This window comes from Homo sapiens, chromosome 5 (genome assembly GCF_000001405.40).
Source record: "Homo sapiens chromosome 5, GRCh38.p14 Primary Assembly".
Lineage (NCBI taxonomy): Eukaryota > Metazoa > Chordata > Mammalia > Primates > Hominidae > Homo > Homo sapiens.
Genome location: NC_000005.10, coordinates 74,216,991 through 74,243,788, shown reverse-complemented (window position 1 = coordinate 74,243,788; position 26,798 = coordinate 74,216,991). Strand labels below are relative to the sequence as shown.

Here is a 26,798-nt window from a genome sequence, read left to right as displayed (position 1 = left end):
TCAAGTAATCTACATCAAAACAATTGGCCATAGAAACCTTCACAAATGAAATTTTTACAACATCAGAAGCTAAGCCAAGTAACAACCAACCCACATGATCAAGCCCAAAATGCCGCATCAAGTTACCAATTTTCTGTGTAAACTTGCTTTTCAGTTGTTTGTCTCATGAAATATTCTTTTGTTTCAACCAGAGAAACTTCTGGTCTCTGATCATTGACTGACTAACTTCCATCCTCTCTCCCTCCCTCTTTTCCTTCCCTTTAATGTGTAGCAAGAAAGTTATAATAGATCTATGGTTATTATAACAGGAAAATTAGATGTCTCTAGTCTCTGCACTGTAATTTATGCAGAAGAATAAAACATGAAGCAGGCACGAACATTCACTTCTCCCCACCATTCGGGGATAAGGCTAATTCAGAGGAAGAATCGTTCCCATTCCCTCGATGCCCAGAGAAACATCAGGTCCCTCAACGTACATAGGTAACAGTAAAAGCCACTTTATGAAGAATTTCTTCTAAGGTCTTTTTCACCTGTTATTTCCTTTCCTCTCTCTTATGTCTTTGATGTTTCCTCCTCTTTTCTATCTGGTCTATCCTTAGACCTGGGCAAGATGGTCCTTGTCCTGGACCCATGCTTCAGAGAATCTGCTCCTGTTTTTCTTACCCTTCCCGTGGGTTGAAGAATCCACAGGCCAAGGAATTGTGACTATCTAGAGTCTGCTCCCCTGCAAGACCATGCTCCAAGAAACTGGGACCCTAGAATTCTGTATCCAAAAGGCATGATCCTATTTCCAGAGCCCACATGGATATCTTCCCCTATACCAGCCTCTGGTGCTAAGGTACTCCTCCTAGGTCTGAGGGGTCACCAAGAGAAGCTGTTTGCAAGAGGTGTGGATGGAGCTTGAATGTATGGGCTCGTGTATTTATGCATTTCAATGAAGCCCTTCATGGTATGGGGACAGAGCCAGAGTGGAAAGAGAATGAGAGCAGGTCGTGGGCCAGAGACTGAGCTAGGTGACCACCCTCCTTGCATTATTGCATTCTGTAACTCTCAGGAGTCCAGGAATTCTAAATTGACCAAGCCTGCTCTTCCAGTTTGCTATGAAGATATATTTGTCAAGATAAGAAAATATTACATAATTTACTTAATAGTCTGTTCACTTGATGTTCACTGATTTATACATTTTAAATGTTTAGATACGTGGTACATGGGTCTCCATTTATCATTTTGCCCCTGGTTCTGCAAATATTGGAGTGGGTCTGCCCATGCCCACTCCTTCATCCATTCTCTCTTTTCTGCTTCCCTTCCCTTTATATATCCAGTCTTCTTTTCTCCTCTGAGCCGTGGACTAGTGGGGATGTTTTGAGGTCTGGTTCTGACCTTCAGGACTGGTGCTGCTTCTCTCTCTCTCCCCTGCCCATCCTGGATCATCTCCCCACCTTGCTAGTTGGAGAATCCTGTATGTAATGATGGCTATTTATGGAGGACAAACAGAAACCTCCATATGGGAATGACAAAATTAATTAATAAGTGAGCAAATGAAGACAGATGCTGAACACCACTCAGGTAGGCTCAAGTGTGTTCCTGTCATGTATTTGCTCTGTCCAACACATCACCTGCCTCAATGAGCTTTTGCTTTCTTAGATCATGGTGGTGGGGGCTGGGGGTAGGTGGGAAATGGGGACAGGCATATCTGTTTAGCCACACCTGGGTTTTCTTAAGAACCCTGCAATGATTTTCTTCATTCCCACTGCCAGAGTTCCTTAGGCCAGTGGTTCTCAAACTTTAGCCTGCATCTGAATCGCCTGGAGGGCTTTTAAAACCACTTCCTGGGCTCAACCCTCAGAGTTTCTGAATCAGTAGGTAGGAATGGGGTGGAGCCCAAGCATTTGCATTTCTAACCATTTCCCAGGTAATGCTGCTGCTACTGGTCCACAGCACACTGAGAACCACTGCTGCAAGTCACCAGGATTTGTTGGATGTTCCTTGTTTGAATCTCTGTTGCTAATGTAAAATCACTTTCAACTTGTGGCCCGTGAGCAGATGCTGGCAGAGCTCAAAACATTTCCCAGTGGCAGAAAAATGACCTGGGACTCGAGCTTCCAGTCCCATGTACCCACTGCTCCCATCGACAGACAGGCTGCTTAGTTAGCAATGGCAGGAGAGTTCTCCCACAGAGGCAACTTGAGCCTTGACTTGGCAGACTATGAAACAGCCTTGGCCATACCCTTCCCTGCAAGTTCCTCTTTAATTGCAAAAGTCTGGGTGGCCTTCACACACGTTGTTTGTATAGCAAGGGAAAAGAGATAAGTTCAGTAACCTTGGAAGACCAATCTTTTTTTTTTCCCAGCCTCCTGAGAAGCAATGCCCAGAGGAACAAACACTGTGTGTGGGAAACCAGAGAGGGGCTCTGGAAGGTGGCCTGGAACGGCCAAAGAGGGGTGGCTTTTCTAAAGAATAAATGTCTCATGATGTGCCTCAAACCATGTCCTGCTGTGTGAGAGTTCATTAGCTGGGATTCCATAAGTGACAACAGTCTAAATCTCCTTAGCTAGACTCAGGCCATGATTCTTCCAACCAGGCTATAATCACACAGAAGATAATCTTGGCTCTAACTGCTGGGTTATATTAGCCAGTCCAAGAAATGGCTCTTAAATTGAACCTCTTGGGGATTTGCATCTGATAAAGACAAGGAATTCTCTTCTTTGTCAACAACTAACCACATGGGCTTCAGGGCATTGACTCAAGCAATGTAAGCTCAGCCACCAAACGGGTGCCCAGGATCTAGTCTTTACTTGCTTACTTTCTCTTGTGCAAATCCATAGGCCAATTGTTGGTTTCATTTTCCAACCTCACTTTTTCCAAATGACTTTGATTGTCTGTTGCTCTGAGTCTACCTTGGATCTGTCATGCTGTGGGAGCCTCCCCTGAAATGAGACAGTTTCAGTTTCATAATAACAATAATAGTCATAATAGGTGCTACTTGTTGACATGAATTCTACATCAGGACTTTTGCCAAGCATTCTTCATACATGATCTAATAAAATCTTCACAATAATCCTAGGAAATGAGGTTATCTTCAATCTATAGGTGAGGGAACCAAGGCTCAGGAATTAAAAAAGTATTCCAAAATCATGCAGCCAACGAGATGCAAAGTCTTGATGCATACTCAAGCTTGTGCCAAAGCCTATGCTGTCATATTCTGTACCTGATGTTTATTAATTTAAGTCGATCAATATATCTACACATGCATAAAATAAAATTTCAGAGGTAGGTTCCAACCTCCTAAATTATTTAGAAACAGGAAACTCACTTAACCAAGTACTCCATTTCCCAGGCAAGTCAGTTAACTGAATTGTTATAGTATAGTCAATACTCAATCAATACTCAATTACTTGCATTATAGAAGGTAGCATTAGTGGAAATGGAAAAAAATGAATAATCAATATAGCTGTGTTTTTGATGAGATTTTGCTGTCTAGTGCATGGCAACTTGGTACAAAGAATGTGGCAGCCTCCCTGAGGTTGTAGTAGCTGGGGACAAATGCCATCTTTTTTAAGGAGTATCTATGTTTCTCATATTTCTTCTGCCTGTCCCCCAAGAGATACCAGGTTGCATGACTTCTTCACATCTCAAAGCACAGCCCATGCTCTTAACCTCATCTCATTGGGTTTGCATCGAGATGTATGTGCACAGGCAGATGAATATGTGAGTGATGAGAAGAGCATCTGCAATGATTCCTTCTGACTACAGCCAAGAAGGGTATAGAAATTACCAGGTGGAGTTAGACCCCTGTTCACATAGGAGAGTGTTGTGAGAGGCAAGCTGCCTTCTGCCATATTCAGAAGGTCAGACAGTCTTTAGAATATCATAACTCATGACAGACCTTCATTTTTTGCCATTTTCTGAAAACTTCCCAAATATTTTAGCCCGTAATAGCTTTTGGGGGTAATCATTCCATGAGTTTGCCTCTATCTATTCTTTGTTAAAAGTCACTTTGGATAGTCTTTCAGCCTTACTGAGATTCCTTGGAAGATACACGTTATCATAAAAAATTAACCTTGGCTTTAGAGTCAGAATATCTAGATTTGAAACTCAGCTCTGCCACTTATTAGCTAAAAAGGAATTTCAGCCAAGATAGTAGGCTGAGCTTCCATGGACACCCCCCCCACCCCAGTTTTAATGCATAAATATGCTTTTAAAAATTAAAAAAATTAAAATACCTAGTTGAATTCAAAAACAAGAAAGGGAAGCTTCAAGGAGCAGAGATAAAGAGGGAACTGTAGTGGTTAGGGGAAGTGGGGGCCACATGGCCTGTGGTGACAGAGAGTGCGTTGCTTAAAGGAAAAGGTTTTATAGCCAATGTGGGAGTGGAAGTCATCTGGCCTCATGCATCAGAGGAAGCCAGAACTGGGTTCTCAGGACAAAGCTGAGAATCAAAAAGGTTCTCATGAATGGGGCGAAGAAAATTTCCATCCCATCCATAGAGTGGCATAGACTTGGCTCCCTGCCCTAGACCATGTTGAAACAGAGTTGATTGAGAGTCAGTCAGACCCCAGTTCTGTGGCACAGGATGGGGCCAAGGGGCTTGAATTCTTGTTTCACGTGCAGTATGGAAAACTTGTAGTGCAGGAATGGAGAGACCAACCTAAAAGCCTGTCCTGGACTGGTGAGCCCTGTAGATTCCAGGCTGAGGCAACTATGTGGACACTTCCAAATAATCTCCTAATTAGTTCACTGACCAATGGAAGAGCGTCCCCTCACAGTCTTGCACACATAACCTCAAAAGGCACAGGAGCTTTAGGGGAAGGCTGCAAGGACTATAGAGATGCATGGCATCTGCTTGTTTTCATTTTCAGCTCACTCTCCCTTTTCCCCCTCTGCACACCCTAATCCCCAGGAAAACTGCCACAGCCAGTCAGTCATCACCTTTTTTTCCTGATAGTAATGCTCTTCTTAATTTCTTTCCTAGATGTGTTGCACTGATATTTAGATATTCAACCCTGGATCCCCATAGTAGATATGGCCACAGAGATATATTGTGGGATGAGGAAGTCAACTTTCTTCTGGTGGTAGTCATTTGAAGCATTGTGTTCCAAATACTCCTATCAAAGCTTTGTGGTCCAGACAATGTCTATTCCATGATCCCGCTAGTTTGCCTAAAAGTATTCCTTTGATTCTGCCTTTTACCATCAAATCCTCCACGTTCATTTCCATGTGGAAGTAATATCTCCCTTTCTCCAAAGCTCCACACCTCTTTGTGTCCTTCTCTCATGATATTTGTTGATTTATTGTTGCCTGGTTCTATTTTTGCACTTGTCTCATGTTTCTTCCTAAAATAAGTTCCTTGATTCCAAGTCCAAGGATCTTTCCAATGAACCACACTATTTCAATCATTGAGTCTCCATTTTCAATAGAATTATAAAAACCACACAAACAAAAACAACTTTTTTCTCTATTTTGAAATCACTCTTCTCTTTTATACTAGGTCCCTTCTAAGATAATCATGAGCAATTCTGTTTCCTCTTCAGGTAAGACTTTCTTATGAATTACTTACAATAGTTAGTTTAAATGTTGTAGAGATTTATTATCTATTAGGACAGATAATATTGTTTATATGTGTGTGTATCTGTATTGGGGTCAATTTATATCAATCTTCCTCTTGGAATAAAAGGATGAGGCTGAGCTGCAAGGACTCCTTTAGTTCTTGCTCCAAATGTTACTGAAAGAACCAAAGACCTACCTGAGGCAGATGAGAAAGGACAACCTGTTTCAAAGGTAGTAGTGGTGCCCCACCTTGTTTAGGGCAGGACAGAACTTTGATCTTCTCTTTGGTGTTACTCACTGTTTACTTCTCACCAGTTTCTGTGTCTGCCTCTTTCCCATTTCTCATCAGCAATGAAGGTAGTTACCAGTTAGGCACTCCCTAACGTAGAAGGTGACTGCAGCCTCTGGAGACTAGGGCAAGGAGAGGGTGAGTTCAAAATAAAATGCCAGCGTGGCTAAAGGATGTTTTAGCTAAGGAACTGTTGGTTTTGGGGAACAGAAACCCTTTCAAGGAAGCTCAAGTCAATAGGGAGTTTATAAGGATGCAAAGAGATCCCATAGAAACACACAGGAAAGATAGCAAAGTCTTCTGGTAACTGGAAAGTCTCTGGAAAAGTCCATCTCTTGTCCATTTTCCCACATGCTCACTTCATCTTTCTTTACCCGAAGACTTTCTTCTTGACTCTAACTACAGGAGGTTTTCATAGCCCCCTGTGAATAGCCATTCTAGTCCCAGGGTCTTCATGATCTTCTATCTCCCCTCCCGAGAGGTAACTGACCCAATTTCTGGGTCTTAATTCCATGTCCCTGGGAGACTAAATCTGACTGGCCTTGCTCGGATCAAGCATCTACCTTTGGTCTGATATTGTGCCCCAGATTAAGGACAGGAGCTGGGAAAATTTAGAGTGGGGAGGATAAATTTCTGAGGTGTCTGTGGGTTTGAAATCTCTTTAAAGAGACACGGATGGGAAGAAAATTTCAAGTATAGCTAGAAAGATGCAAGGCCAGTACGCACTCTGGACCAACTTCAGTATGAATCAAAGTCATGCCTGCATTCCAACCCAATATGGCCAAACTTTCATTAACCCCAGCTGGCCCAGGAGTCTACTTTTCAGGTAAGTTTCTGTATTGAGTGATGAACCACTGAGAACAGACTGAAAAGGACAAAGTCTTTGGAATGACTCTATCAGTAGTCTATTGTCAAATGGTCACCACATCAAGGGCCTTTGCCTTCAAAGAAGGCAATTTATTCTTCTGCATAATTCATAGATCTTCCACTTGGAAATGTTCTGAATTACAGTTTCTTATTCAAATTAGGTTTAAGAAAACAGTTTTTATTTCTGAGACACTTGCCTCTCAAAGCATATTTCTTGAGGTTTAGCAACTATTCTCTTAGTTTTTCAGGGACTGGTAACTCAAGAATAGAATTGGGAAGGTTTTGACCTCCCCAATATAAGAAGGGAAGAGTGGCAGTGTTTGTGCTTTCCTTAGTAGTTTTCTGGACTGTGGCCTCTTTTAAGTCACATAGGGTGACTGTCTTGCTGCACGTCACTGTATGCATCCTACTGATTGATCCACTAGGGTGACTGAATGAAGGCCGTGTTGTAATAATAGTAGTAGAAATAGCAATAACAACAGTAATTACAGCCACCTCAGGTGGCTACTTATTAGAACTTCCTAACACTTTATATCTATTGCAATATTTAATCCTCACTACAAAAATATGAATGTGGCATTCTCCCTATTATATACAGAAAAACTTAGATGACTTGAATATCTTTGCTTTTTTCATTCTGACAAGACAGTGGACCTAAGCTGTGTCTATACAATGTCCAACAGCTAGTCAAGTCAAGGGTTGTACATATGCAAAACTCTTTGATTTGCATATGTTTTTGCATATAGTTTTTACTTGTGTTAGCATGTCTGATAAATAGTCCAGTGGCTATTTCTCACTATCACTATTTACATATTAGCATCTTCCTATATCTGCACAAAATAAAATGGAGACTTTCAATTCAAGGCGTGTTTTAGGCCACATACTCTACCAACCAATGCAAAGGAATATATCACATTTATTCCATTAAATGACAGGCATAATCAATATCTTATAAAATTAAGAAAAGAAAAAAAGGAGTCTGTGGCCAGTTATGCACAAGTAGCATAAAAATAATAATAGTGAGGTCATGTTTTCTCCCATATAACGTAAAACAAACCTTTAAGACCTGCATTCCAAAGTGTTGAAATCATTCTTTAATGGATTTAAATAAAGAGAAAGAAATTTCTCACCAATAATAAAAATATTATTATTTTAATGCACCCATAAAAGCTGCATTATTGATCACTGTTTTCTAGTGAGTATTTTACATTTCATTAATATTTACAGTGGCATTAATCATGGTCTGGATGTGAGATTTGAGTGACAGCACTTTCATTGAGGTTCCCACTCATTTTTAAGTTTGCAGTCTGTTGCTCATCTCAGATGTCTCCAAAATGTCTAAATCAATGTGATCTACTGGACAAAAAATGTGAGTTGGGAACTTGAGAGTTTTGAGTTTCTATTGGTGTCACTAGTGACTTCCAATGGAACCTTAAAATTCTTGCCTTTCATTATCTATAACTTTGAAATAGGACTAATACTTGTTTTCTAAATAATGGATTTGATCTATACCTTCCCTCCTAGCACAAGTATTGTGGTCATCTAATATGTTTAGGACATTTTTTTCCCTTTATTTCATCAGAGGCAGTGTTGTGCTAGAGAAAGCACAGAGAGTTGGGGGTTGGATTTTAAATCTAGAGTCATTTACTAGTTTGTGACATGGATCAAAACACATAACCTTTTTGAGTTTCAATTTTCTCATCTGTAAAATAGGGATAACAATGATCTTCCAGAAAGGAGATGAGAATTAAGTGAAATAATCTAAGTAAGATGCCCAGCATATTAGGCATTCAGGAAAGTTTTTCTCCCTTATTATATTATGTAAAATGTTATAATTAACAGTTTCTGAAGGCTTGGAGAAAAAAAAGTCCTCCCTTTTTATGGAGATTTTTCAAGAATCTTTTCAAGAAGGATTACTGTTTCCTTGGTTTATGCATAGTGAATAATTTTTTTCCTTTTTTCTTGTATTTCTTCTATTTGCCCTTTTATTCACTTTTCACCAGAGATATGCAGGATTGCCCATTAAGTTTTAGGAATATTTTTAAAAAACTGATGCGAGGGGATAGGTGGAGGTGGGGTATCTCTTGATGCTGTAATAACAATAGGGAATTTAGCTCTTTTATGAAATAAATGTGAAAATAAATATAAAGTTAAAATGTCTAGGAGGCACTGGCACAAATCTGGGTAAGTTCCCTGGGTTGGGGGAGGGGTACATTAGCTTAAATTCCTCCTTTTTGAGAATGAGTTTTGTTACCTTTGGTCAGTTGCCCTTTTCCTTTGACTTCCTGGCTGGTGGGAGATTTTTGGTGCTGAGAGTCCAGTTTTTAAAAATGGCTGGAGCAGAGTCAGAGAAGGAGATTCCTGTTTATTTTCACTACAGTAGCTGCCAAAGGTCATCACCAGGATAGTCACTTTCACATAGTCCTTAAGTCATCATTAGAATAGATATGATTCTTCCCCTAACCCCCATATAGTTCCATGGCATTTTATGTACTAATTAATACTTTTGAATGCTGTTGAGCCGTTTTGAAGATGACCCCACTGAAATTAAGATTTGTTTTGGGAGAATGGCTGACATGGCCAACAGGGAATGAAAGATGTCACCACATTGTGCCTAGGTGATATGGTTTGGCTCTGTGTCCCCACCCAAATCTCACGTCAAATTGTAATCCCCAGAGTTGGAAGAGGGGCGTGGTGAGAGGTGATTAGCTCGTGGGGGCAGACGTCCCCCTTGCTGTTCTCATGATAATGAGTTCTTGCCGACCATGTGAGGATGTGCTTGCTTCTCCTTCACCTTCTGCCACAATTGTAAGTTTCTCCCTAGAAGCAGAAGCCTATACAGCCCACAGAACCATGAGCCAATTAAACCTCTTTTCTTTATAAATTACCCAGTCTCAGGTATCTCTTTATAGCAACATGAGAATAGATGAATACACCAGGTAAGATTTGTCCTCTGCTGCACATCTATAGCCACTGTTCCTGATTGCTGGCAATGGTCTAGCAGTTAGAACAGACCCTTGGGCCTAGGAGAACTTTGTTATTCATTGCTGTTCTATCAAACTGGGCCATTTGCTGTTGTGGTCCCAGGTCAGAGAAGTGCCAGCAGTGCCTTTGCTTAAGCCTTTGAGAATGTTCTGCCATCCCTCTTCTGCATTTTGAAGAAACAGCTTCAAGGCACCTATTTTTAAAAGGACAGATAAATTGTTATATAATGGAGAACACTTTTCAGACCATTCAAGTCTTGGGGCCTGTTTTGGCTGAGACATGAGACAAAACTGTCCTCTTTGTGGGAACTAGTTCTCTTGTCCCTCTTGCCTTTTAAAGTCATTAACAGCACGCTAAGCAATTTGGAATGTCCAACCACTGACTCAGCTAGGTTTCATTGCTTTGTTTACTTTGCTTTACATCTTCAGCCTCTTCATATTGGCATTATGTAAAAGGCTTCTTCCTAAAAATATAGACATTTCAGTTGGATTTGAGCAACCCAGAAAAAGTTGTTTTCTTAATTTGGGAAAGATCCATTTGTCAGTGTTTTTGCCTATCTGTAGATGTACATGTTACTATACATTGGGTGATACACACACACAGTTCATTGGAGTTGGGGTTCATCATTCCACAAGCATAGATTGAGTTTAGAAACTACAGGAAGCCTTGGAAAGTATTCACCACTTTTAAGGTTTTGATACCTTGGTTCAGTTCCTAAGTGTTGGGAAGTTTCAAAGGGTAGGACAAACTGGGTGGGGGTGAGCAGTGGTGAGAATACAAGTCAAAAATAGAACAGGCAAGACTTAAGGACTAGAGTGGTGGAAAGGACAGAGGACCAAGGGTCAGGAGCCCTGGGGCTTCAGCCTGGTACTTCCATTAATTACTGGAATGAACTGGAACACATCCCCTCTGGGCTTCAGTGCCCTCATCTGTATAATGAGATAGTTGGTCTAGATTGGGGGTTGTTGGCCAACTATGGTCTGTGGGCCCAATTAGCCCCCAGCTTGCTACTGTAAGTGACATTGTGCTGGGACACGGCCATGGCCATTTGTTTAGATACTGGCAATGACTATTTTCTTGCTACAAAGGCAGAGTTGTGATAGAAACGTTATGACCCACAAAGTCTAAATATTCATCATCTGGTCCTTTAAGGAAAATGTTTGTTCAGTCTTGGTCTAAAGGATTTCCATCATTCGAGCTCTAAACTCTAATTTCTCTTTATCTTGAACTGATCTTTTTCTCTAAGCACTCTATGGGGAGACTATCTTTCTCACCAATTGGGTAAGTTCTTCTTTTCACTCTGAGGCCAGATACACATACTTGACAATAAATGGGACTTGAAGGCAAAAAATCAGATTCTCTAGGAAAAGGAAAACAAGATGGAAGATGATGCGAAAGATGAGGATTTGGAGGAGTTTGGCCAAATGAGAGAGGCGTGCTTAGCCACACTGGGCTGTACTCCCAAAAGCCCTCCTTCAGAATTCTTCAGGGGCAGCATCTGAGTCTCATACATAATGAAATTGGTCATGTAGCGGGGAAGTTCACACTCAGCAATGTTAATGGAATGAGGCTGGACCAGCTGGTTGGCAGGGGGGTTTCCCCTTTGGGAGATGCTACTGTGATTCATATGTGTGGGTTGACTACAAAGAAGTTCTGAGTAGGGAAAGGAGGGGACAGGAGAAGAAAAAAGAGAGAGAGAGGGAGGACAGGGATGGGCAAGTTAAGACACCACAAAGCAGCAAGCATTGAACAGGACAAGGGCTGTCTTTGTCCTAGGCATTCTGGGGGCACAAAGGAGAATGGGACATAGCCCCCATTGAGAAGCTAAGCTTTAGGCCAAAGGCTTAAAGACAAAGGCACAGCTTCCCGTGGGATGAGAAAAAGTACCCCCAGGAAGGGCAAACCAAGACAGATGGAATCACTTTTACAAAAAAAAAAAAAAAAAAAGAAAAATACCCAGACTGTCCAAGTCCCACATTTTATATCTAAATCCTAGCAAGGCCTGGAAATGCTAATGATAAAAATTTCGCTGAAAATACACACATTTCTATCTACTTCTCAACCTGGTAAACAGGGTCCTTCGTCATCTATTCCTTTCTTATCTCTCCAGCTTCATCACTCATCTCTGTACCATTTCTGCTCCATTCTTAGCCACACTGAACTGTTTCCTTTTCTTTTAATAGACCGAATCACCCCTGCCTCCCGGCCTTAGTCACTCCTGCTGCCACCTCTGGCTGGAGTTCCCTCCATGCTAAGTCTGCCCCACATCCCCTGCTGCTACTTGTCCTTCAGATCTCACTCAGTCCCTGCATCAGCTCCCCCAGGAAGCCTCCTCTGATCCCCAAGGCTAGGTCGGGTCTCTTCTTATATGTTATCACAATATTAGGTATATTTCCTATCACACTACTTGATAATTTCTTGTCCATCTTTCCCAGTTAGTTCAGGTTCCCTCTGTGGGGTCTCTCCTTGTGGGCTAGTTTGCACTTACTCACTGTGGCTTCAGAGCCGTCAGACTCTTACCTGGAGGACCAGGGATTCAAAGGCAAGTGTACCAAGAGGACCAGGAAGAAGCTTGGTGCCTTCTGATAACCCATCCTCTGAAGTCACACAGTGTCACCTCCTCTGTAATGCCAAGAATGCCCAGATTCAAGGGGAGAGAGCACAGACCCCACTTCTCCATGGGACTAGGGTCAAAGTCACATGGTAAGAAGAACATGTGGGACGGAAGATATTGATTATCTCTAGAATATACCCATGTGCCACACCGATGTTTCAGTGACATTTATGAGATACATTATAAAGCTTTTATTCCCTGTAAACACCTATGTGTTCTGGATACCTGTGAGTACATCTGAGGCTCTTAACACTCAGGATCTCTGTCACAATTCTAGCAGAAATCTCATCATTCTTTCAAAGCTATTTAGCACACACAGCGCTCAGTCTGGAATCTGAACTGACTCAGGGTATGTACTAGCCTATATTCCATCTATGAAATATACCACAAAACATGCAATCAATAGTGTAGCAAATGTCATGAGTGGTAGAAACCATAAAGAAAAAGACTGACAAGTTTAACTACAGACAAATTAAAATCTTTAGAAGTAAACCAAATTGAGAAAAATTAAAACTGAGAAACTTTTGTAACATTATGAAAGACAAATAATTGGTATTCTTAACACGAAGAAATTCTGCAACTAAATTAGAAAGGATAAACAGTCCAACAGGAAAAATATGAGGATATAATTTCTTTAACAAAAGTAATAATGCACCATTTTATATTTGCCTATCAAATAAAAACAATGAGTCACCATTTCATTTTTGCCTATCAAATTGGTAAAGAGTAAAAAGAATTCTAATGCCCACATTGTCTGGAGCCTGGGGAAATGGACTCTCACACACCGCTGGAGGAAGAAACAGTACTTTTCTGGAGAGCAATTTGGCAATAGGTGTGGAAAGCCTTTGAAAAGATATGCCCTTTGATCCAGCAATTTTTTATATGGGGGTTTATCCCATGATGGTAACAGGGCATGAGCACAAAAATGTTTGGACAGAAATATTATTTTCAGTATTGTTTATATTAGAAAAATCTGGGATTAACAGGGTCAAGTAACAATGAAATACTTTGCCACTTTAAAATTTATTTCATATTTCATATATTAGGTTGGTGCATGTATGTATATGCATATATATATATATTTATATATAAATTTTTTTCCACAAATGCAAAGGCATTTATAATATATTTTTAGGTGAAAGAGCATAGGATAGTTTCAAAACAGCAAATATGTAATTCTATATATGTGTATATGTGTATATCTTTAGGAGAACAATAAAAGGATGAAATGCCATACATCTAAGTATCATCAGAGGCTACCTCTGCAAAGTATGATTATGGATGGTCTGCTATAAAGTCTTCTTAATCAGTGCATCTCACACGGTTTGGCTGTGTCCCCACCCAAACCTCATCTTGAATTGTAGCTCCTATAATTCCCGCATGTTGTGGGAGGAACCCAGTGGGAGATAATTGAATCATAGGGGCTGTTTCCCCCATACTGTTCTCATGTAGTGAATAAGTCTCACAAGATCTGATGGTTTTTATAAGGGGTTTCCCCTTTCACTTCGTTCTCATTCTCTCTCTTGCCTGCCTCCATGTAAGATGTGCCTTTCGCCTTCCGCCATGATTGTAAGCCACGTGGAACTGTGAGTCCATTAAACCTCTTTCTTTTGAAATTACCCAGTCTTGGGTATGTCTTTATTAGTGGCAAAAAAAGGGACTAATACAGTATCCAGAGCTTTCTTTGAAATGAACCTATCCATGCTATTTTTAAAAACTCTGAACATTAATGTGACCTTCACCTTTTTCCAAATGTCTGTTAAATTACACAATGGATATATTCTAATTGTAAAAGTTCAAGCAATATAGTAAATATAATAGCATAAATACATAATTTATATTAATGTGTATTATATAATATATAGTATAAATATAAATATGCACTATAAAGGAAAATCCTCCTTTACCGTTATTTTTCAAAGAAAAAAATTAGGCCAGCTTCCATCCCTCACCATTTATAAACACAACCCAGACTTAGTTAAATGCACACCAATGGATTTAGTATCTGAACACAATTTAATAACTGACTATTATTTCAGTTTAATGGGCCCAAGTCGGGAAACCACACAGTCACGGAAGAGGCAGGGCCCAGCTAACTCCGACTAGTGTGCCCATGATGAAATGCCTTTGCCCAGGAGAAGCACTGAGAAACTGGGCTGGTCATATTTTAATATTCCACCCAAGGAGTGCAAGAAGGTAACCTGAGGCATGGAGAGCTCCACCCAGGGCCCAACCCTGGTTTTTAAAGGTGGGCTGTGGTTCTGAAGGCCAGACCAAGGGGCATTGCTTAAATGTCAACTTTAGGAGTGAAATGTGTTCTCCTAAGGCTGTTGATGCTGTAAAAGTCCAGCCAAATTGCACTTTTGATTAGACCTGAGCTGTTTTTATAAAGCTGTGACAAAAACCATTAGTAAGTAAGACTTAAAGAAAGCTTTTATTTCTTCTCATTTATCCCCCTTGCCTTCACATTTACAAAGCTTACAAGGAAAAAAGCCTGCCAGCGTGAATTTCCTCTGTTTCACTATTGCCTGTGAAAAGCATTTTAGGTCCACCGGTAAGAATCTGTTTGTGTAGGTAATTTCTTCTGAGGAAACTTGGATTTTTTTCTGCCTACTGATTGCAAAGGAATGACTTGCATCTCATAAAAGATACAGGTTTGATCATTAGAATCCCTGCACGACTTCTCCCCTTTCTGTGCCCCGATCCCTTAGTGCGTATACAGGGCATAGTCAATTTCTCTGTGCTTCATTTTCCTTGAAATGAGATAAATACAGAATACTCTGGTGATAGTATTGGGAAGAAAGAAACATTTTCTAGAGGTTTCTATTACATTACACATTACCCAGAGACAATGGGGCAACTTAAAAGAATGAAGACATAGAGAGGTTTACAAGAATTTTGGGGAAACACTAAGCAATTAAGCAGAAAAACCTGTAGAACTACAAAGCATTTTACTGTGTTCTGCTAGTATCAAAAGTCTATTTTTGCTTATACTATTAAGTACTTTGATTTGTTGCTTTAGCTGATATTTTCTAGTGCTACCTGTCAAATTATAATGATTATTTTCAAGAATCCACTACCTCTCTGCATTTTAAGCAATACCTATTGTAGATATATGTAAGCTCTAACATAGTCAAATAAGACCATAGGCTCTTCCCAGACCTATCCACCAGTTCTGAATCCACATAGATCAGATAATATTTTTAAATGCTGGACTGACTGACTGGCCCCCTCTGCTACTGGAAAGATTATAGGGTGGTGCTAAAGAGCGTGAGTTTGGAGCAGAGGCTGGAGTTTGGGTGCCAGCTCTGGCGCTCATTCACTTTTTCCTTTTAGCAAGTTCCCTAGCCTGAGTCTGTTTTCTCATCTATAAAATGGGATGATAACACCTATCTCACAGAACTGTAGGAGGTTAAAATAAAATCATGCATAGTAAGCTCTTAGTCCAGTGCCAGGTAGGGAGTACCCATCTTATAAGTGTATTGGAACCTCTTTCCCATACCACAATACAGACGTCGTTGGTCTCCTGTGGTTTGCAAAGCCATCTTCCACTCATCTCTGCTTCTTGCCATCTTTCTGCAGCTCTACGAGATATTCCCTCAGGACACGGACCAGTCAGTACATGTCCCCTCTTTTTCCTACGCTTTCCTACTATTTTGTCTTTTTCCTACTATTTTGTCTTGGATCCATTCTCCCTCCCAGATAGTTAACCTCATGAGGGCAGAGAATTGTTTGCTATTTTGCGTACAGAAATATCGGAGAGCATGTCCTTGGACTTCTGACAGGACATAGAATGGAGGGGTGTGGAATCGATTTGCTATAATTCACAAAGGGCAGGGTTTCAAACACAGATGGAAATGGAGGCCCAGAGAGGGAAAATAACCTTCCCCAAAACATAGAGCCTCCTTTTGCTGAAGCTGGAACAGGCGTCCCTCTGTATGGCAGTGGGATCCCCATGTTGCCTCTCTGGGCACCTTCCTCAGCTGCTCTCTCTGAACCCATTACTCATTGTTCACCCATTCAGTCCACAGAATGGTTAGTTCTTAGATGTGTTTGCACTCATCTCTGCTTTGCGGTTTAATCTAGGAGAACTGGTCTCTTTAAGGGGGCTGGCCTCATCCCAGGATACCAACAGAAGGTTCTGTCTTGTCATTTGGCACCTGCAAGCTTCCAGTGATGCAAGAAGCTAGATGCGCTGCATGTTCTGCATCCAAGTCGCTCAGCCACGTTGATTCTGGGATGCAGTCAGTCCCTGGCAAACCTTTGGCTTGGCCTGCAGCTTGATTCCATGTTGGTGCCATGTAATGTTTGCCAGTCTCCTGAATAAAGAAAGATTCAGGACAGCTTCTGGTACTGCCAATCAAGGCTTAAACTTTCCATCCTATGTGAGTGAGCCTTGGTTGGTCTTACAGCTCCCTTTAAATTAAAATAGCCAAGTGATTAAATATTCATGCTTTGCTTATTTCAGTATATTTAATTTATTATGTATCACTTTTCTTGGGTTTTATATAAACTTGCCTGAGGACTTTCTTTTTTTCAGCTTAAATTCTGGCAGAATGTTCCCTTTTCCTTGGCAGGGTGTTGATTAGTTAAAGTCTGCTTAGCTCAGAAGCTTTTTTTTTTTTTTTTTTTTTACAGATTGCTCTTGCACTTTAATAAAAATGATATTATGGTCATTATCACCAACATTAATCAATCTTTAGTGATCATTAATGTGGCACCTAAGATGAGGTGCCATTAAAACATCTACTTCATTTTATTCCAAGCCTGGAATCATTGCCTTCAGTTTTTCTACCCAACATTTTCTATTCACTTAGGATGGGAAAAATGAAGGAGAGACTGGTTTCTTTTATTCTGCCCATTTCTGTCATGGATAAAAATGAAATCATATCTTTCTTCTATCTTTTTACAGAGTAGGTCTTCACCAAATTCTGTCTTGTAACTGTCTTAGTTTGGCAGATGTGATCAGAGGGCTATTTCTCAGACCTGATGAGTAGGCTACCTCTTCTTCTAAAGCTTTCCTAATGCCTAGATTTATAATGTAAAGCATGATTGAGGCTGGAGTGGGGCTCAGAGATCATACTGATGCATAGAAGTTTTCCTCCCTCATCTAAAGCAAGGAGGTAAAAAAACACACACACACAATTGATTGGATTTCACAAAGCTTCTAATTGCTGCTTTTTGAGAGCTATTTTTCTCTTTTTAAAAAGTCATAAGGTCCTGCTGGATGCAATTTCAAAATATATGAATAATGATCCCTTGATTATAAAGAGCTAATTAAAAATTTCAGGCTTTGTCCCCACCATCTTAAACTTGCACTACCTCTTGCCACCACCCACACAGCATCTGCTGGAGCCTAAAAATGAGTTTCAGTATTAGCCTATGAAAATAACAAAACAAAGTTAGAAATTAAAATTAGCTGCCAAAGAAGAAATCATATGTCACTCCTCTGCTCAAAAACACTGTATAAACACCAAGAAAAGAAAGAAAAAAGGAAGGAGGAAGGCAGAGAGGGAGGGAGAGAGAATGGAGAAGAAGGCACAGAGGAAGGGAGGAAAAAAGGGAGGGAGGAAGGAAAGAGGGAGGGAGGGAAGGGAGGAAGGGAGGAAGGGAAGAGGGAGGGAAGGAAGGAAGGAGGGAAGGAGGGAGAGAGAAAGGGAGGGAGAAAGGGAGGGAGGGAGAAAGGGAGGGAAGGGAAGGGAGGAAGGAAGAGAGGAAGGGAGGGAGGAAGGGGAGGGAGGGAAGAAGGTAGGAAGGAAGGAAAGGAAGGACAGGAGGGAAAGGAAGGAAAGGAAGGACAGGAGGGAGATCAGACACACTAGATAGAAACTTAAGAAATGTGCAGGAAGTGTATGAAGGAAATTTTAAGAGTTCCTGTGGGACATAAAACAAGGTTTAATAATAGACATCTAATTTTGAATTGAAACAAATAATCTTTTGAAAAGATAATTTTTTTCCAAATTAATTTGTAAACTTCATGTATTCATAAACGAAATTTTTAAAAAGAACTTTAAAAAAGCCATTCTAAATCTTCTATTATCTGGAAGACTAGTTAAGAATAATAAATTTTGTTAAAAAAATTAGGGAATACTGGTTTTGCCAGATATGAAATTTAAAAGATAAAATAATTAAAATGATGCTTACTGATATAAGAATAGACTGATGGGTTAAAAAAAACAGGAACAAACACATGTATATATGAATATACACTTTTTATAAAAGGAAATTTATTAAAAGATATATAAGTTCCTGTTGGGCAGGTTGGCAAGGGACAATGCCAGGAAACTCAATAATTTAATAAATGATACCAAATGTGCCTGTCCCAGAAAAAAGTTGCCAGAGACATCTCTCAGCTCTATTGAGAAGAATGGCCTCCTTGATGCACCAGGCGAGCATGTTTCTGCAATAAATGTTGAAGCCGTTGAGGATTCAGAGTCCGTATTGATGATGGCTCATGTCTGTGGGACTGACACTCTTCTGGGTGTGTTGCCACCTCTTGGGCTGAGCTGCTGCTGCCAGGTGTAAAATCCTGCAGTGGCGCTCAGTTCTCAAAACCCCAGTGCTCCTGGCTCGCATGCTCAGCTGCTGGTGATCATGAGCTGGTGATTCTCCGTGAATTTGCAACCTGGATGAATATAGCAATTAGGTTTTAGTTCAGACAAATTTACGCCCAGTAACCAGCAGCTGGTGGGGACTTGTTGACTGCTACCCATAAATATTTTATATGTGAAAGAGGTGACATTTCAGACAAGTAAGAGAAGGATTCTTTATGGTTTTAGGAAAACTATTTGATGAGGTGTTATATTCATTTCTTGTGGCTGATGTAACAAATTAACACAAATTTGGTGGCTTAAAGTGACAGAAATTTGTTCTCCCACAAATCTGGAGGCCAGAAGTCCCAAATCAGTTTCACTAAGCCAAAATCAGTGTTCACAAGGCTAAGCTCCCTCTGGAGGCACTAGGCAAGAATCTGTTCCTTGCCTCTCCCAGTTTCTGGTGGCAGCTGGTGTTCCTTGGCTTGTGGCCACATCACTCCAATCTCTGCCCCCATTTTCACATTGCCTTCCCCTCTTCTGTGTGTGTCAAACCTCCCTCTGTCTCTCTATTACAAGGACACCTGTGATTGGATTAATGGACACCTGAATAGTCCAGGATACTCTGCTAGGTCAAGATCCTTAATACACTGTCAAGGTCTTCTTTCACTTATATGGTAACATTTACAGGTTCCACTGATTAGGACCTGAAATCTTTGGGTGGTCATTATTCAGCCTGTGACGGGGTGAACTAGGTTCTTATTTCACCCATACAGTGAATAAATGTATGATGTGTCAAATAATTAAAAGATATTAAGGCAAATAGTTACTGGATCTCAGAGATTACCTTTTTAAACATAAAAGATTGATGGTCTTGCTCATGTAGAAATTAAACACTTGTTTATGCCTGCAATTACCATAAACAAAATTACAAATAATTAACAAGCTGGAAAAAGTATTTGTGAGACAAAAGTTCATATCATTAATATATGAGGAGCTTTTATAAATCAGAAAAATATATATATATATCCTAATAGAAAAATGATCCTAGAACGGGGACAGGCATTTCACAAAAGAAGAAAATCAAAAGGTCAATGAACATAAAAAAAAAATGCTCTTGTAGTAACAAAGAGCATGTGAAATATTGATAATGTATTAGTTTTGGAGAACACATTGGCAAAAATTATAAAAATTGCAATAACCAATAATGGCAAGGGAATGAGGAAATCAATGCTTTTATGCCCTATTAAGTGGTATCTTAATGGGTACGGGCTTTCTCAAGAGCAATTTTGCCATACATGTGAAAGACTTTAACATCTGTATTCTCTTTGAATCAGAAATTGTGATTTTAAATTATGGTAAAAAGTGAGCAACTATGCAAAATGAATTCATCACCTATATTCTTTATAGCTTCATTAAAATGTGGAAAAATTACAAGTAGTCTAATATCTCACAGTAGAAGATTGGTTAAAAAATTTTGATATAGCTATAGGATGAGATACATGCAGGCTTTATAAATTCTAATGAGATGGAAAATGTTCACAACATGCAGTTAAATGAGAACAGCAAGTATCAAGACCATCTGCATATCTGGGCCTGTAAGTGTGTGTGTATATGTGTATGTGTATCTGAAATGATGACTGAAAATGTTCACAGTGGTCCTCATTGGAGGTAGGATTATGGGTGATTCCCTCCTCCATTTAACACTTTTAAAATTTTCATAGTGAGTATGTATTACTTTTATAATTTGGAAAGAAAAAAAAAGTCAATGTATATATTTTAAAATGATCTCCAGAATAAAGTCAAATCCTCTAAATGTGGCAAATACAGACCCTTTATAATCTGTTTCTGTCTACCTTTCAATTTTCACCTCCCTTGAGTACCCACTACCAGCTCAATGTTTCTATAGCAACAATGAATTTCTTGGCCTTTTCTGAACTGGATCCTGTGTTTTCATAAATCTATGTCTTTACACATGTTGTTCCTTCTGGCCTGGATCTCTAGAGAACCCCTGCCACTCATTCAAAATGCATCCCCCTAAGGTGGGCAGAGAGTTTTCATGATGCCCTCTGGCAGAATAAGCCACTTCCTCTTTGCTGCCACAGCACAGCACACGTCAACACATTGTGATTGTATTTCCACCCTGTTTGTATGCCATGGTACCAATTCCCTCCAAGCACTGTGAGTTCAGTGCACACAAGAACCCAGCCCAGACGGGTGGTTCCAAGATGGCCGAATAGGAACAGCTCCAGTCTACAGCTCCTAGCGTGAGTGACTCAGAAGACAGGTGATTTCTGCATTTCCAACTGAGCAAACGGCACACCAGGAGATTATATCCAGCGCACGGCTTGGAGGGTCCCACACCCACGGAGCCTCACTCATTGCTAGCACAGCAGTCTGAGATCGATCTGCAAGGTGACAGTGAGGATGGGGGAGGGGCGCCCACCATTGCTGAGGCTTGAGTAGGTAAACAAAGTGGCCAGGAAGCTCAAACTGGGTGGAGCCCACTGCAGCTCAAGGAGGCCTGCCTGCCTCTATAGACTCCACGTTGCGGGGCAGGGCATAGCCAAACAAAAGGCAGCAGAAACCTCTGCAGACTTAAATGTCCCTGTCTGACAGCTTTGAAGTGAGTAGTGGTTCTCCCAGCATGGAGTTTGAGATCTGAGAACGGACAGACTGCCTCCTCAAGTGGGTCCCTGACCCCCGAGTAGCCTAACTGGGAGGCACCCCCCAGTAGGGGCAGACTGACACCTCACATGGCCAGGTACCCCGCTGAGATGAAGCTTCCAGAGGAACGATCAGACAGCAACATTTGCGGTTCAGCAATATTCGCTGTTCTGCAGCCTCCGCTGCTGATACCCAGGAAAACAGGGTCTGGAGTGGACCTCCAGCAAACTCCAACAAACCTGCAGCTGAGGGTCCTGACTGTTAGAAGGAAAACTAACAAACAGAAAGGACATCCACACCAAAACCCCATCTGTATGTCACCATCATCAAAGACCAAACACCGCATGTTCTCACTCATAGGTGGGAATTGAACAATGAGAACACTTGGATACAGGAAGGTGAACATCACACACCGGGGCCTGTCATGGGGTGGGGGGAGGGGGAGGGATAGCATCAGGAGATATACCTAATGTAAATGACGAGTTAATGGGTGCAGCACACCAACATGGCGCATGGATACATATGTAAAAAACCTGCACGTTGTGCACGTTTTCCCTAGAACTTAAAGTGTAATTTAAAAAAAAAAAGAAAAAGAGAAAGAAGGAAATAATTCGGTGAAATCCAGCACAATAACAGCATAATGGAGAAGTGGATCTTGAGCTGTTTCTTGATGACTAAGCAGTTTGGGAGGTGAAGGGGATTCAAAGAACACTTCAGGCTGAAGGAAGCAACCTATGCAAAGGTGCAAAGACATGAAACATTTTATTTGTATCAAATGGGGATCTGTAGCTTATGCCTCAATATGGACTTCAGTACTTTTATATTTACCCAAATGTGTGTTATATATATTTTTTTCTTTGATAGATGCACACATATTTAACTACATACATATACTTTATGTCAATGTTATGTATGCCATATGTTTGCATGTAAATATACACAGACATTATACATACTGTATGCACACTATGTATGTAAATAGACATAAATATCTTTTGTGTTTTTTCCCCTTTTGCCATTATATTAACCTAACTCACGGAATAAAAGCATAAAGACAAACAGAAGAATTAATGTACATAAAAAAAAAAAAAAAAAAAAAAAAAAACTCAGCCCAGTACCTGAGGAGGGGGTTAGATTGGCCCACATGGAGCCCAAAGGAAAAAAGCTCCTCCAGGCCATACTGCCATACTGCTCATAAGGAAGGTAAAGGATGAGGTGGCCAAAGATGAGGACCAGACATAATTTTTTTATTGGTGAAATGTGAATTTCTAAATTAGACATGATATTTAAACCCACTGACTTGTGTTGGTTGAAATTAAATCAATACATTTGAAATTTGATTGGAGTTGCTTATTTTGGATTTTTCAGTGTGAGGAAAGCTGTTTTGTTGTTGCTGCACTTTAACTTATAATTGGTGTGTTAAATGGTACAATTTTCTTTAGCATATGCTGGTTGTGTTTCAAAACATTCTCACCTTTTTACAAAAATCAGATTCCTGAGTTGTACAGAGTCATTTGCTCTAAGTAAGTCTTTAAAGATAATTAGGAAGAGTTGGGAAGCAGGTATGGTCCCAACATCCACCTTTCCATAAAATGCAGAGAACAGGTGAGAAATAGGAGTCCTGTGTTAGGGGATTAATGGGCCCTGGGCTGGTCAGGTCACCTCTCAGAGTCATAACTCTGTTTTTTTATTTTTTATTATACTTTTATTCTAGGGTACATGTGGACCATGTGCAGGTTTGATACATAGGTATACATGTGCCATGTTGGTTTGCTGCACCCATTAACTCATCATTTACATTAGGTATATCTCCTAATGCTATCCCTCCCCCAGCCCCCCATCCAACGACAGACCCCGGTGTGTGATGTTCCCCACCATGTCCAAGTGTTCTCATTGTTCAATTCCCACCTATGAGTGAGAACATGCAGTGTTTGGTTTTCTGTCCTTGCAATAGTTTGCTCAGAACGATGGTTTCCAGCATCATCCATGTCCCTACAAAGGACATGAACTCATGCTTTTTTATGGCTGCATAGTATTCCATGATGTATATGTGCCACATTTTCTTAACCCAGTCTATCATTGATGGACATTTGGGTTGGTTCCAAGTCTTTGCTATTGTGTATACTGCCACAATAAACATACATGTGCATGTGTCTTTATAGCAGCATGATTTATAATCCTTTTGGTATATACCCAGTATGGGATGGCTGGGTCAAATGGTATTTCTAGTTCTAGATCCTTGAGGAATCGCCACACTGTCTTCCACAAAGGTTGAACTAATTTATGCGCCCACCAACAGTGTAAAAGCATTCCTATTTCTCCACATCCTCTCCAGCATCTGTTGTTTCCTGACTTTTTAATGATCACCATTGTAACTGGCATTAGATGGTATCTCATTGTGGTTTTGATTTGCATTTCTCTGATGGCCAGTGATGATGAGCATTTTTTTCACGTGTTTGTTGGCTGCATAGATGTCTTCTTTTGAAAAGTGTCTGTTCATATCCTTCGCCCACTTTGTGATGGGGTTGGGGTTGTTTTTTTCTTGTAAATTTGTTTGAGTTCTTTGTAGATTCTGGATATTAGCCCTTTGTCAGATGGGTAGATTGCAAAAATTTTCTCCCATTCTTTAGGTTGCCTGTTCACTCTGACAGTAGTTTCTTTTGCTGTGCAGAAGCTCTTTAGTTTAATTAGATCCCATTTGTCAATTTTGGCTTTTGTTGCCATTGCTTTGGTGTTTTAGACATGAAGTCCTTGTCCATGCCTATGTCCTGAATGGTATTACCTAGGTTTTCTTCTAGGGTTGTTTTGGTTTTAGGTCTAACATTTAAGTCTATAATCCATCTTGAATTAATTTTTGTATAAGATGTAAGGAAAGGATCCAGTTTCAGCTTTCTGCATATGGCTAGCCAGTTTTCCCAGCACCATTTATTAAATAGGGAATCCTTTCCCCATTTCTGGTTTTTGTCAGGTTTGTCAAAAATCAGATGGTTGTAGATGTGTGGTGTTATTTCTGAGGGCTCTGATCTGTTCCATTGGTCTATATATCTGTTTTGGTACCAGTACCATGCTGTTTGGGTTACTATAGCCTTGTAGTATAGTTTGAAGTCAGGTAGCGTGATGCCTCCAGCTTTGTTCTTTTGGCTTAGGATTATCTTGGCAATGCGGGCTCTTTTTTGGTTCCATATGAATGTTAAAGTAGTTTTTTTCTAATTCTGTGAAGAAAGTCATTGGCAGCTTGATGGGGATGGCATTGAATCTCTAAATTACCTTGGGCATTATGGCCATTTTCACGATATTGATTCTTCCTATCCATGAGCATGGAATACTTTTCCATTTGTTTCTGTCCTCTTTTATTTCGTTGAGCAGTGGTTTGTAGTTCTCCTTGAAGAGGTCTTTCACACATCCCTTGTAAGTTGGATTCCTAGGTATTTTATTCTCTTTGAAGCAATAGTGAATGGGAGTTCACTCATGATTGGCTGTTTGTCTGTTATTGGCATGTAGGAATGCTTGTGATTTTTGCACATTGATTTTATATCCTGAGACTTTGCTGAAGTTGCTTATCAGCCTAAGGAGATTTTGGGCTGAGAAGATGGGGTTTTCTAAATATACAATCACATCATCTGCAAACAGGGACAGTTAGACTTCCTTTTTTCCTAATTGAATACCCTTTATTTCTTTCTGCTGCCTGATTGCCCTGGCCAGAACTTCCAACACTACATTGAATAGGAGTAGTGAGAGAGGGCATCCCTGTCTTGTGCCGGTTTTCAAAGGGAATGCTTCCAGTTTTTGTCCATTCAGTGTGATATTGGCTGTGGGTTTGTCATAAATAGCTCTTATTACTTTGAGATACATTCCATCAATACCCAGTTTATTTGGAGTTTTTAGCATGAAGGCTGTTGAATTTTGTCGAAGGCCTTTTCTGCATCTAACGAGATAATCATGTGGATTTTGTCTTTGGTTCTGTTTATGTTGTGGATTATATTTATTGATTTGCCTATGTTGAACCAGCCTTGCATCCCAGGGATGAAGCCAGCTTGATAGTGGTGGATAAGCTTTTTGATGTGCTGCTGGATTCAGTTTGCCAGTATTTTGTTAAGGATTTTCACATTGATGTTCATCAGGGATATTGGTCTAAAATTCTCTTTTTTTGTTGTGTCTCTGCCAGGCTTTGGTATCAGGATAATATTGGCCTCATAAAATGAGTTAGGAGGATTCCCTGTTTTTCTATTGATTGGAATAGTTTCATAAGGAATGCTACCAGCTGTTCTTTGTACCTCCAGTAGAATTCAGCTGTGAATCCGTCTGGGTCCTGGACTTTTTTTGGTTGGTAGGCTATTAATTATTGCCTCAATTTCAGAGCCTGTTATTGGTCTATTCGGAGATTCAACTTCTTCCTAATTTAGTCTTGGGAAGGTATATGTGTCCAGGAATTTATCCATTTCTTCTAGATTTTCTAGTTTATTTGTGTAGAGGTGTTTATAGTATTCTCTGATGGTAGTTTGTATTCCTGTGGGATCAGTGGTGATATCCCCTTTATCATTTTTTATTGCATCTATTTGATTCTTCTCTCTTTTCTTATTAGTCTTGCTAGCAGTCTATCAGCTTTGCCGATCTTTTCAAAACAAAACAAAACAAAACAAAAAAACCCAGCTCCTGGATTCATTGATTTTTTGGAGGGTTTTTTTTGTGTCTCTATTTCCTTCAGTTCTGCTCTGATCTTAGTTATTTCTTACCTTCTGCTAGCTTTTGAATGTGTTTGCTCTTGCTTCTCTAGTTCTTTTAATTGTGATGTTAGGGTGTCGGTTTTAGATCTTTCCTGCTTTCTCTTGTGGGCATTTAGTGCTATAAATTTCCCTCTACACACTGCTTTAAATGTGTCCCAGAGATTCTGGTACATTGTGTCTTTGTTCTTATTGGTTTCAAAGAACATCTTTATTTCTGCCTTCATTTCGTTATTTACCCAGTAGTCATTCAGGGACAGGTTGTTCAGTTTCCATGTAGTCGTGCAGTTTTGAGTGAGTTTCTTAATCCTGAGTTCTAATTTGATCGCACTGTTGTCTGAGAGACAGTTTGTTGTGATTTCTGTTCTTTTACATTTGCTGAGGAGTGCTTTACTTCCAATTATGTGGTCAGTTTTAGAATAAGTGTGATGTGGAGCTGAGAAGAATGTATATTCTGTTGATTTGGGGTGGAGAGTTCTGTAGATGTCTATTAGGCCTGCTTGGTGCAGAGCTGAGTTCAAGTCCTGGATATCCTTGTTACCCTTCTGTGTCGTTGATCTGTCTGATATTGACAG

General features: G+C 40.2%; 2 annotated features.

Annotated features, from left to right (window-relative positions):
- Positions 1,942-1,991: an enhancer, noted in NCBI's record as "active region_22664". NCBI's record gives its function as "activates an Ori minimal core promoter by ATAC-STARR-seq in GM12878 lymphoblastoid cells {active_cell/tissue: GM12878}" and the evidence as "EXISTENCE:reporter gene assay evidence [ECO:0000049][PMID:35858748]".
- Positions 4,238-4,438: a silencer, noted in NCBI's record as "peak5287 fragment used in MPRA reporter construct". NCBI's record gives its function as "represses an SCP1 promoter by STARR-seq MPRAs in K562 erythroleukemia cells {active_cell/tissue: K562}" and the evidence as "EXISTENCE:reporter gene assay evidence [ECO:0000049][PMID:32103011]".